The following is a 12906-nucleotide window of genomic DNA, read 5'->3' on the forward strand; positions in this document are numbered from 1 at the left end:
GGTGTGTATATATCATGTGTGATGTGTGGTGTGTGTGTCATGTGTTTTGTGGTGTGTGCTGTGTGTGTGGTTTTGTGTGGTGTGTTGTGTGTGGTGTGTGTGTCATGTGTTTTGTGGTGTGTGCTGTGTGTGTATGGTGTGTATATATCATGTGTGGTGGTGTGTGTGGTGTGTCATGTGTTTTGTGGTGTGTGCTGTGTGTGGCGTGTGCTGTGTGTGTGGTGTGCGTGGTGTTTAGTGTTGTGTGTGGTGTGTGTGTCATGTGTTTAGTGGTGTGTGTGGTGTGTATATATCATGTGTGGTGTGTGTGTGGTGTGTGTGTCATGTGTTGTGTGGTGTGTGCTGTGTGTGGTGTTGTGTGTGGTGTGTGTGTTATGTGTTTTGTGGTGTGTGCTGTGTGTGTGGTGTGTGTGGTGTGTATATATCATGTGTGTTGTGTGTGGTGTGTGCTGTGTGTGGTGTGTGTGTGGTGTGTGCTGTGTGTGTGTGGTGTTGTGTGTGTGGTGTGTGTGGTGGCAGAACCCAGCAGGGAGATAGGGAGGGAGGTGGAAGTTCCTTTGGGGAAAGACTTCCTTCCCTAAGGAGGCCGGAGGGATCGGGGAGCCGGGCAGGCGCAGGCGGGGCTCCGGAGTGGTCGTCGAGGGAGGCCGTGGGGCCACGACCTGCTGCCAGGGCGGGGACAGGCCTTGGGGCCAGGACCTGCTGCCAGGGTGGGGACAGGCCTTGGGGCCATGGGGCTGCCAGGGTGGGGACAGGCTGTGGGGGAGGCTGTGGGGTAGGACCTGCTGCCGGGGTGGGGACAGGCTGTGGGGCCATGGGGCTGCTGGGGTGGGGACAGGCCATGGTGGGAGGCCGTGGGGCCAGGACTTACTGCTGGGGTGGGGACAGGAGTTCTTGTCCAACCGGGGGCACCTCCAGGGCAGGCTCATTTCTTTCCACTGGCTAAATTAATTAAAAAAAAATTCCTCTGAAACGAATACTGAGTCACTTTAAACATTTCTCAGATGTAAATGGAAATCTAATAAAATCTGTGAAAGGTATTTTTAAAACAGCTTTATTGAGGTGTGATTTACATACCATAAAATCCACCCACTTCCAGCAATTTCAGTGATCCACCCACGACTCAATGATTTCAGCGCAACCATCACCACCCTCCAATTTTAGAAATTTCCATCACCTCGAAGTCCCCTCGCAGCCATGAGCAGTCACTTCCTCTTCCCACCCCCAGCCCTAAGCAAACTCTAACCTGCTTTCCGCCTTGATAGATTTGCCTTTTTTGGAAATTCCGCATAAATAGAATCATACAACTGGTAGTCTTTGGTGTCTGGCTGCTCTCACTGAGCATAATCCTTTGAGGTTGGTCCACACTGTAGCATCATGGGTGGGTAGTTCTTATAATTCTCTCCCATTGTACGGCAAAGCCATATTTTGTTTAGCCATTCACCAGCTGATGGACGTTCGAGCCGTTTCCATATTTTGGCTGTTATTAATAAAGCTGCTATGAACATCCAGGTAGAATTGTTTATGGTTTTTTGTTTTTGCGACAGGATCTAGCTGTCACCCAGGCTGGAGTGCCATGGCATGATCATGGCTCACTGCAGCCTCTACCTCCTGAGCTCAAGCGATTCTCTGGCACCAGCCACCTCCTGAGTAGCCAGGGCTACAGGCGAGCACAACCACACCGGGCTAATTTTTTTTTTTTTTTAGTAGAGACGAGGTCTTACTCTGTTGCTCAAGTGAAGGTACAATTCCTTGTGTGGACATATGTTGTCATTTCTCTCAGGTGGAGACATAGGAATGGCATTGTTAGGTCAGACGGTAAATATACATTTTACTTGTGAAGAAATTGGCTATACTTTTTTTAAATTTTTTTATTTTTTTTTAAGACGGAGTCTCACTCTGTTGCCCAGGCTGGAGTGCAATGGCTTGATCTCAGCTCACTGCAACCTCCGCCTCCTGGGTTCAAGTGATTCTCCTGCCTCAGCCTCCTGAGTAGCTGGGATTACAGGCGCCTGCCACAATGACCAGCTACTTTTCTTTCTTTTTTTTTTTTCTTTTTTTTTGAGACAGAGTCTCCCTCTGTCACTCAGACTGGAGTGCAGTGGTGTGATCTCAGCTCACTGCAAACCCCTGCCACCCGGGTTCAAGCAGTTCTCCTGCCTCAGCCTCCGGAGTAGCTGAGATTACAGGCATGCACCACCACACCCAGCTAATTTTTGTATTTTTAGTAGAGACAGGGTTTCGCCATGTTGACCAGGCTGGTCTTGAACTCCTGACCTCAAGTGATCCGACCGCCTCGGCTTCCCAAAGTGCTGGGATTACAGGTGTGAGCCACCATGCCTGGCGGCTATACGTTTTTCATATGTCTGAAACGTATGAAGTTTCCAGTGTTCCCATGCCCTTGTCACCCCTTCTTCTTATCGCCCTTTTTTGTTACACACAAGTGTGTGAAGTGGTAACCCACTGGGCGTTTTCCCTGCCGCCCTTTGCAGAGCAGGGCTGACCCACAGGCACGTGCCAGAGCGGGCTCCCACGGGCTTTGATTTGAATTTTCCCAGTAGTTAATGATGTTGAGCATCTCGTCATGTGTTTAAAAGACAAAGCCATTTATGTACCTTCTTTGTTGAGATGTCTAATAAAATTTTTGCCTTCTTTTTTTACTTGGGTTGTCTTATTTTTTAAAATATATTTATTATTAATTGTAAAATATACGTAACAAAAAACTTTTATTTTCTTTTTCTTTCTTTTTTTTGAGACAGAGTTTCACTCTTGTTGCCCAGGCTGGAGTGCAATGGCACGATCTCGGCTCACTGCAGCCTCCGCCTCCCAGGTTCAAGCGATTCTCCTGCCTCAGTCTCCCCAGTAGCTGGGTTTATAGGCAGATGCCACAACGCCCAGCTAATTTTTGTATTTTTAGTAGAGACGGGGTTTCACTATGTTGGTCAGGCTGGTTTCGAACTCCTGACCTTGGGTGATCTGCCCACCTGGGCCTCCCAAAGTGCTGGGATTACAGGCGTGATTTTTTACATTTCTATTTTGTTTTTGTAGAATCAGGGTCTCATTATGTTCCCCAGGCTGGTCTCAAATTGCTGGGCTCGTGATACTCCTGCCTCGACCTCCTATTGTACTGGGATTACAGGTGTGAGCCACTGTGCCCAGCCAATTTTTGTTTTCTTAATGACGTTGTTTGAAGGACACCATTTTCAGTTTTGATCAAATCCAATTTATCTCTATTTTCCTTCATGATCCTGCCTTTGGTCTTGCAGCTGAGAACACTTTGCTTCACTCAAGGTCAGTCACGAAGATTTCCCCTCATGCGTCCTTTTAACCATTTCATAGCTTTAGCTCTTTCATTTAGGTCTATCTATGGTTCATTTCAAGTTAATTTTTGTGTAAGGAGTGAGGTAGGGGTCTAAACTCATGTTTTTACATGTGGATATCTAACTGTCATAGAACCATTGTTAAAAAGAGAGTCCTTTCCCCAACTGAAAGCCTTGGCACCTTTGTCAAACATCAACTGACCCTAAATGTTTGGGTTTATTGCTGGATTCTCCATTGATCTATATCTTGATTCTCATGCCAGCACACACTCTACTACTGTAGTTTTATAGTAAGTTTTAAAATGGAAAGTGTGAATCTTCCAGTTTTGTTCCCTTTCAAAATTATTTTGGCTATTCTGGATCCTTTGCATTTCCATATAAATTTTATGATCAGATTGATAATTTCTGCAAAAAAAAAAAAAAAAAAAAGCAAACCCAAAAAGCCTGTTCACATTTCAATAGGGATTGCATTCAACCTACAAACCAATTTGGAGAGTATTGTCATCTTAACATTGAGTCTTATAATCCACAAATACTGAATGTCCATCCATTCATTTAGATCTTCAATATCTCTTTGAAATGCTATACAGTTTTAAGCATACCAGTCTTGCACTATTTTCGTTAAACTTATTCCTAGGTATTTTACTATTATTATTTTGAGACAGGGTCTCCCTCTGTCTCCCAGGCTGGAGTGCAGTGGCACAATCTCGGCTCACTGCAACCTCCACCTCCTGGGTTCAAGCAATTCTCCTTCCTCAGCCTCCTGAGTAGCTGGGATTACAGGCGTGCACCACCACGTCTGGCTAATTTTTGTATTTTTAGTAGAGACGAGGTTTTGCCATGTTGGCCAGGCTGGTCTTGAACTCCTGACCTCAGGTGATCCACCCACCTTGGCCTCCCAAAGTGCTGGGATTACAAGTGTGAGCCACAGCGCCTGGTTGGTATTTTATTGTTTTTTAATGCTGTTGTGAATAAAAAGCCTAAAACTCCCAGGTTCACTCCTAATCTGCATGTGTGTGGATCTTCTAATTAGCATATCACATACTTGGAGAATTGATCTAACAGGCCGACCTCCACTGAGGTCTCAGAGTGACCACTAGGTGGTGCACACGAAGGCTAGTCCTGAATAGAACAGTAAAGGCTGGAAAATGAACTGATACTGGAACCACATTGCACAAGAGACTAAAATAAGAATGACAAAAAATAAAGACCGGAGAGTCATAATACACCACTCAACATTTCCACGATAGAAACAAAAATCAGTTGGCATATGAAGAAAGCAAAAATCTAAGCTCATGAATGGAAAAACAACGAACACCAATGATACGGTGGCTTGCATGAATCATCTGACAAGGACTTTAAAACAGCTGTTGTAAAAATGCTCAAACCAGCAACTGCAAACAGTCTTGACACAAATATTAAAATAGAAGGACTCAGAAAAGAAATAGAAGATGTAAAGAAGAACCAAAGGGAAATTTCAGAACTGAAAAATGTAACTGAAGAAAAAACTCACTGGATGGATTCAATAGCAGAATTGAAGTAACAGAGGAGTCAATGACCTCAAAGGTATGTTCACAGAAATTAAAATTAATCTGAGCAAGAGAGAGAAAAAAGAATTTTAAAAAAATGAACAGAGACTCTAGGACCTGTGGGATGATAACAGGGCTAATATTTGTGTCACTGGAGTCCTAGAAGGAGAGAGACCACGAGGCTGAAAGAATATTCAAGGAAGTAACAGCTGAAAAATTTGTCAAGTTTAGTAAAAGACCCAACAGATTCAAGAAGCAGAGCAAACTCCATCCTGGTTAAATGAAGAAATCCATTCCAAGACACTTCGAAGATTAAATTGCTGAAAACTACAGACAAAAAAATCTTAAGGCCGGGCGCAGTGGCTCACCCTGTAATCCCAGCACTTTGAGAGGCCAAGGTGGGCAGATCACTTGAGGTCAGGAGTTCGAGATCAGCCTGGCCAACATGGTGAAACCCCGTCTCTACTAAAAATACAAAAATGAGCCAGGTGTGGTGGCGTGCACCTGTAGTCCCAGCTACTCAGGAGGCTGGGGCACAAGAATTGCTTGAACCCGGAAGGCGGAGGTTGCAGTGAGATCATGCCACTGCACTCCATCCTGGGTGATAGAGTAAAATTCTGCCCCAAAAATAAAAATAAAAATCTTAAAAGCAGCCAGAGAAAATCGATGTATTATCTATCTACAGATGTATTATCTATAAAGAAAAATGATTTGAATGACTGGATTTCTCATCAGAACTCATAGGGGCTACAAAGAAAAGACACAGCATTTTTCAGACTTCTACGTCCAGCAAATTTCCTCAGCCTGACAAAAGACATCAACAAATATCCTGCAGCTAACTGCATACTTTGTGGTGAAGGCCTAGATGCCTTCCCCCTGGTCCTAAGACCAGGGTCAAGGTAAGGATTTCCACCCTCACCCTCTTTATCAACACCATGCTGGAAGTTCCGGCTACTGCAAAAGGGAGAGACCAGAAATAAAAGGCATACCACCAGGAAAGGAAGAAATGAAAGTGCCCTGATTTGCAGACAAACATGATTATTTATGTAGAAAATCCCAGGGAACCTATTAGAAACCAAGAACAAGGCCGGGTGCCATGGGTAACACCTGTAATGCCAGCACTTTGGGAGGCTGAGGCAGGTGGATCACTTGAGGTCAGGAGTTCGAGACCAGCCTGTCCAACATGGAGAAACCCCATCTCTACTAAAAATACAAAAATCGCCGGGCATGGTGGTGGATGCTTGTAGTCCCAGCTATTTGAGAGGCTGAGGCAGGAGAATCACTTGAGCCTGGGAGGCAGAGGTTGCAGTGAGCCAAGATTGTATGACAGCACAACACTCCAGCCTGGGCGACAGCGTGAGTGAGACTCCGTCACAAAAACAAACGAACAAAAAAAAAAAAAAAAAAAACCCCACAAAGAACATAGAACCAATGAATGCGTTTAGCCAGGTTGCAGGTTACAAGGTCAACACATAGAAATTAATCAAGGCCTGGCACAGCGGCTCACGCCTGTAATCCCAGCACTTTGTCAGGAGATCAAGACCAGCCTGGCCAACATGATGAAACCCCGTCTCTACTAAAAATACAAAAATTAGCTGGGCGTGGTGGCAGGCGCCTGTAATCCCAGCTACTAGGGAGGCTGAGACAGGAGAATCACTTGAGCCCAGGAGGTGGAGGTTGCAGTGAGCCGAGATCATGCCACTGTACTCCAGCCTGAGCGACAGAGGGAGACTCTGTCTGAAAAATAAAAATAAATAAATAAATAAATAAATAAATAAATAAATAAATAAATCAGTTTTATTCCCATATACAAACAGTGAGCAATAGGAAGCCAAAAAATATTAAGGTTATAATTTACAATAGCTCCAAAACATGCCTGGATGTAAATCCAACACAACGTACGAAACCTGTGCATTGGCAACTATAAAACGCTCTTGAAAATAATCAAAGGGAAAGACTTACTGGGTTTGTGGATTTGAAAGCTCAGCGTAGTAAAGAGGTCCTTTCTCCCCAAGTGATGTACAGATTTAACACAAAACCAGGCAAAATTCCAGCAGGATTTTTTTTCCTTTGGTAGATGTAGACTGATTTTAAACTTTATATGGAAGGGTAATTAATTAGAATAACTAAAATTTGAAAGCAAGAAAATAGTTGTAGGATTCAGACTATCCGATTTTCTTTGTTTTTGAGATGGAGTCTGGCTCTGTCACCCAGGCTGGAGTGCAGTGACACCATCTCGGCTCATTGCAACCTCCACCTCCCGGGTTCAAGCGATTCTCCTGCCTCAGTCTCCCGAGTAGCTGGGATTACAGGCGCCTGCCACCACACCCAGCTAATTTTTGTATTTTTAGTAGAGATGGGGTTTCGCCATGTTGGTCAGGCTGGTCTTGAACTCCTGGCCTCAGGTGATCCTCCCGCCTCGGCCTCCCAAAATGCTGGATTACAGGCGTGAGCCACCTCGCCCAGCTGACTATCCGAGTTTAACACTTACTATAGCGCCACAGCAGTGATGACCACGTGGAATCGGCAAAGTGATAGGTGCACAGATCCACAGAAGGGAACAGATAGTTCGGATACACCCACAGAAACTCATCATCTCCTTTGATCTTTGGCAAAGGGGCCATCCAGTGCAGAAAGGAAAATTTTCTCAGCAAATGGTGCTGGAACCACTGGTCATCGGTATTCTGAGATGAACCGTTGTGGGTGTTCCTGGGAAGGCCTAGGGGAGCTGGGGACGGGGGCATTTCCAGATGAGCGAACCGGCACCTCCCACTGCTCCAGGGCGCGCAGAGCTGCCTGAGGCCCTGCCCGGGTGGGAGCCCGGCCCGCTGGGCAGCCTGCCCTCGGGTCCTCGTTCATGGATAAAAAGGCACAGGTCAGAGATGGAGAAGCTCGCCCTGGCCACCCAGGTGGTGAGGGTCACCCTGCGGCCACCCAGGTGGTGAGGGTCACCCTGAGGCCATCCAGGTGGCGAGGGTCACCCTGAGCCTGTGTCCACCCGGCTCCCTCCAGACTCCCGGGGTAGGGGAGCAGCGCTGCCACGCAGTGGAATCGCCAGCTTCGCAGGACGCAGGCGCCCGTGGGGTCCCTCCTGGGGTGAAGGGAGGGTCTCTCCAGGAGCGCCCCGTCGGGTTGGTTCAGCTGCGAGGGGAACACGCGTCCTGGGAACCTGAGGCTGAGTCAGGAGCTTGTCCTCAAAGACATCTCCCCCAGTAAAAGCTGAAGCGAGGGGGCGGGGAGACGGGAGACCTTGAGCCCTCGCGCCCTCGCGCCCTCGCTCCGGGTTCCTGCGCGTGGAGGGGGCAGGACGCCCCGCCCTTATTCCCGCCGCCAGGGGGCTCCACGGAGGCCGCCCCTCATCCACAGCAGCTGCGGGTCCTGCCCGGCCCTCCAGGGCCTGTAAGCCAAGCCCGAGCCTCGCCCCCGGGCCCGCCCCCTCCTCCCGCCCCCGCAGCTGCTCCCTCTCGCCTCCCCGGGAAGCGCGACGCCCCCGCCTTCCCTCAGGGCCCCGGGCGGGCGGACACCAGACCGAGAAATCCGGGCGGGAGGTCGGGGCGGCGTCTGCTCCGCCGGGGGCAGGTATCGGGGCGAGTCGGAGCCACGAGGACTCTCCGCAAAACGCCCAGCGACGTCGGTCTTCGCCCAGAGGCAAGTGGCCGCCCCGCTCCCCAGCTCGAGGCGGTTCGTCCCCACGTGGCGTGGAGGCGGCGCCGGACTCGCGTCCTCTGCAGGGCTCAGGACAGGGCCTCCTGCCTCGCGCCTGGAACGCCCTCCCCCCCCTCCCCGCAGCCCGTCCACACCGCCCGGGCGCCCCTTCTCGCCGGCTCCCACCCGCGGGGCCAGGGCCGCTCCCATGGAGAGACGGGGATTTCACCGTGTTGGCGAGGCTGGTCTCGAACTCCTGACCTTAAGTGATGTGCCCGCCTCGGCCTCCCAAAGTGCTGGGATTACAGGCGTGAGCCACCGTGCCCGGCCCCACATTAGTATTTTAATAATAGCCATCCTAATGGATGTGAAGTGGAATCTTACTGTGGTTTTGATTTGCGGTTCCCTAATGACTAATGATGTTGAGAGCTCTTTCATGTGCTTATTGGCCATTTGCATATTTTCTCCAGAGAAATGTCTGTTCAAGTCCAGTTTTTAGTTGGGTTGTGTGTCTTTCTGTTGTTGAGTTGTTGAAATTCTTTATATGTTCCAGATACTAGACCCTTATCAGAGATATGATCTGCAAATATTTTCTCCCACTCAGTGGGTTGTCTTTTCACTCGCTTGATAGTGTCCTTTCATTCACAAAAGTTGTTAATTTTCATGAAATCCAATTTATCTATTTTTTCTTTTGTTGCTTGTGCTTTCAGCGTTTTTTTTTGTTTTGTTTTGTTTTTTTAGACAGAGTTTTGCTCTTGTTGCCCAGACTGGAGTGCAATGGCGCGATCTCGGCTCACCACAACCTTTGGCTCCCAGGTTCAAGCAATTCTTCTGCCTCAGTCTCCTGAGTAGCTGGGATTACAGGCATGTGCCACCATACCCGGCTAATTTTATTTTTAGTAGACACAGGGTTTCTCCATATTGGTCAGGCTGGTCTCGAACTCCCAGCCTCAGGTGATCCGCCTGCCTCAGCCTCCCAAAGTGCTGGGATTACAAGCGTGAGCCACCGCACCCAGCCTTCAGTGTCATGTTTAAGAAAACGTTGCTAGCTGGGCACAGTGGCTCATGCCTGTAATCCCAGCACTTTGGGAGGCCCAGGTGGGTGGATCACCTGAGGTCAGGAGTTCAAGACCTGCCTGGCCAACATGGTGAAACCCCATCTCTACTGAAAAAATACAAAATAGTGGCATGCGCCTGTAGTCCCAGCTACTCGAGAGGCTGAGGCAGAAGAATCACTTTAAACCTGGGAGGTGAAGGCTGCGGTGAGCCGAGATCACGCCATTGCACTCCCTGGCAACAGAGTGAGACTCTGCCTCAAAGAGAGAGAGAGAGAGAGAGAGAGAGAGAAAGAAAGGAAAGAAAGAAAGAAAAAGAAGAGAAAGAGAAAAAGAAAGAAGAAAGAAAGAAAGAAAGAAAGAGAGAGAGAGAGAGAGAGAGAGAGAGAAAACGTTGCCAAATCCAGTATTTTCTCCTGTCTTTTCTTCCAGAAGCTTTGTAGTTTTAGCTCCTAAGTTGAATCTTTAATCCATTTGGAGTTACTTTTTGAATATGGGGTAAGGTCAGGGTCCAAGGTCATTCTTTTGCATGTAGTTAACATTTTCTCAGCACCGTTTGTTGAAGACACTGTCCTTTCCCCCATTGAATGGCCTTTTCCCCCTGTTGGGAATCAGTTGATCATATGTGAGAGTTTAACTCTTAATTCTATTCCACGTCTATCCTTATGCCAATACTATACAATTTTGATTACTGTAGCTTTGTAGTAAGTTTTGAAATCAGGAAGTATGAATCCAACTTTGCTGTTTTTCAGAATTATTTTGGCCATTCAGGTCCCTTGAGATTCCAGGTGAATTTTAGGATAGAGTTTTCTATTTCTGCAAAAAACACCATTGGGATTTTGATAGGGATTACACCAAGCCTGTAGGCTACTTTGGGTAGTATTGCCACTTTAGCAGTATCAAGTCTTCCAATCCATGAACACAGATGTCTTTCCATTTATTTAGGTCTTGTTTAATTTCCTTCAGATGTATTTTTGCAGTGTGCAAGTTTTTTAGTGTACAAGCCTTCCATATTTTTGGTTAATTCTTAAGTATTTTGCCTTTTTGGTGCCATTGCAAATGGAATTGTTTTCTTAGTTTCTGTTTGGGATTGTTCCTTGAGAGTGTATACAGATGCAACTAATTTTTGTGTATTGGTTTTGTATGCCTTGCAACTTTGTCCAGTTTGTTAGCTCTAAAAGTGTTTTTCTTTGTGGATTCTTTAAGATTTTCTGCATATAAGATCATGTCACCTACAAATAGAGATAATTTTAATTCTTTTCTAATTTGAACGCTTGTTTGTTTATTTAATTGCTCTGGCTAAAATATTCAGTACTATGTTAGATAGAAGTGTTGAAAGTAGGGATCTTCGTCTTGTTCCTGATCTTAGGGGGAAAGTTTTCAGCCCTTCACCATTGAATATAATGTTTGCTGTGGCCTTTTCATATATGGGCTTTATCATGTTGAGAAAGTTCCCTTCTATTCCTAGTTTATTAAGCATTTATATAATGAAAGAGTGTTGGATTTTGTGAAGTGCTTTTTCTGCATTGAGGAAATTATGTGTTTTTTTTCTCTTCATTCTATAAATGTATTGAATCATAATGATTTCTGCATGTTCAACCATCCTTGCATTCCTGGAATAAATCCCACTTGGTCATGGCATATGATCTGTTTAATACACTGTTGAATTCAGTTTGCTAGTATTTTGTTGAGAATTTTTACATCTATGTTCATGAGAGACATTGGTCCGTAATTTTATTTCTTGTAGTGCCATTCTGGCTTTAATATCAGGGTAATGCCGGCCTTACAAAATGAGTTAGGAAGTGTTTCTTCCTCCTCAATTTTTTGGAATAGTTTGAGAATTCTACTTTAATTCTACTTTAAATGTTTGGTATAGTTCACCAGTGAAGCTCTCGGCTCCTGAGTTTTGCTTTGTTAGAAGGTTTTTGATTATTGATTCAATCTCTTTGTTATAGGTCTATTTAGATTTTGTGTTTCTTCTTGAGTCAGTTTTGGTAGTATGTTTTTGCATTTAAGAATTTGTTCATTTCATTTAGGCTATCCAATTTGTTGGTTATAGCATTCTTTTATAATCCTTTTTATTTCTGTAAAATCAGTAGTAATGTTTCCAGTTCATTTGTGATCTTAGTAATTTTAGTCTTGTTTTATTCCTTGTCAATCTGGCTAAGAGTTTGTCAATTTTGTTGATATTTTCAATGTACTAATTTTGCTTTTGTTGATATTCTCTATTTTTATCTCTATGTCATTATATGTCATTAATCACACACACACACACATATGTGTGTGTGTGTGTATATATATATATATATTTTTTTTTTTTTTTTTTTTTTTTGAGACAGGGTCTCGCTCTGTCATCCAGGCTGGAGTGTAATAGCATGATCATAGCTCACTGTAACTTCAAACTCCTGGGTTCAACCAATCCTTCTGCCGCAGCCCCCTGAATAGCTAGGACTACAGGCACGTGCCACCATGCCTAGCTAATTTTTTAATTCTAATTTTTTGTGGAAACAATATCTTGCTATGCTGCTCAAGGTGTTCTCAAACTCCTGGCCTCAAGTGATCCTCCCACTTCAGCCTCTCAAAGTGCTGGGATTATGGCATGAGCCACCGCACTCAGCCCACACTAATCTTTATTATTCTCTTCTTCCTGCTAGAATTGGGTTATTTTAGTTCTCTCTTTTTTTTAGTTCCTTAATGTGGCCTGTATTGAAAGATGTAAAGAGATATACTTTTTGACATGTAAGAAAATCTTGATTAGATCACTGGCTGACTGCAGAGGTAATGAAATAAACTTCAAAGACTACTCATAAGAAGGGATACCGACTTTGCAAACATAGTTTGGAAAAGTTGCTAAACATGTTGCCGGGCACTGTGGCTCATACCTATAATCCCAGCACTTTGGGAGGCTGAGGCGGGCTTATCACCTGTGGTCCAGAGTTCGAGACCAGCCTGGCCAACATGACAAAACCCCATTTCTACTAAAAATACAAAAATATTAGCCTGGCATGGTGGCAGGAGCCTGTAGTCCCCGCTAGTTGGGAGGCTGAGGCAGGAGAATTGCTTGAACCCAGGAGGCGGAGGTTGCAGTGAGCTGAGATTGCACCACTGCACTCTAGCCTGGGTGACAGAGTGAGACTCTGTCTTCCAAAAAAAAAAAAAAAAAAGATAATTGGCCAGGCGCAGTGGCTCACACCTGTAGTCCTAGCAGTTTGGGAGGCTGAGGCGGGTGGATCACTTGAGGTCAGGAGTTTGAAACCAGCCTGGCCAACATGGTGAAACCCTGTCTCTATTAAAAATACAAAAATATTAGCCGGGCGTGGTGGCGGGTGCCTGTAATCCCAGCTACTCGGGAGGCTG

General features: G+C 45.8%; 5 annotated features.

Annotated features, from left to right (window-relative positions):
* Positions 499 to 798: a silencer, noted in NCBI's record as "silent region_13944". NCBI's record gives its function as "represses an Ori minimal core promoter by ATAC-STARR-seq in GM12878 lymphoblastoid cells {active_cell/tissue: GM12878}" and the evidence as "EXISTENCE:reporter gene assay evidence [ECO:0000049][PMID:35858748]".
* Positions 1359 to 1428: an enhancer, noted in NCBI's record as "active region_19293". NCBI's record gives its function as "activates an Ori minimal core promoter by ATAC-STARR-seq in GM12878 lymphoblastoid cells {active_cell/tissue: GM12878}" and the evidence as "EXISTENCE:reporter gene assay evidence [ECO:0000049][PMID:35858748]".
* Positions 1569 to 1618: an enhancer, noted in NCBI's record as "active region_19294". NCBI's record gives its function as "activates an Ori minimal core promoter by ATAC-STARR-seq in GM12878 lymphoblastoid cells {active_cell/tissue: GM12878}" and the evidence as "EXISTENCE:reporter gene assay evidence [ECO:0000049][PMID:35858748]".
* Positions 1669 to 1718: an enhancer, noted in NCBI's record as "active region_19295". NCBI's record gives its function as "activates an Ori minimal core promoter by ATAC-STARR-seq in GM12878 lymphoblastoid cells {active_cell/tissue: GM12878}" and the evidence as "EXISTENCE:reporter gene assay evidence [ECO:0000049][PMID:35858748]".
* Positions 7322 to 8243: an enhancer, noted in NCBI's record as "H3K27ac-H3K4me1 hESC enhancer chr22:50421116-50422037 (GRCh37/hg19 assembly coordinates)". NCBI's record gives its function as "activates a minimal SCP1, AML or CMV promoter by ChIP-STARR-seq in naive H9 embryonic stem cells {active_cell/tissue: H9 hESC(naive)}" and the evidence as "EXISTENCE:reporter gene assay evidence [ECO:0000049][PMID:30033119]".

This window comes from Homo sapiens, chromosome 22 (genome assembly GCF_000001405.40).
Source record: "Homo sapiens chromosome 22, GRCh38.p14 Primary Assembly".
Taxonomy (NCBI): domain Eukaryota; kingdom Metazoa; phylum Chordata; class Mammalia; order Primates; family Hominidae; genus Homo; species Homo sapiens.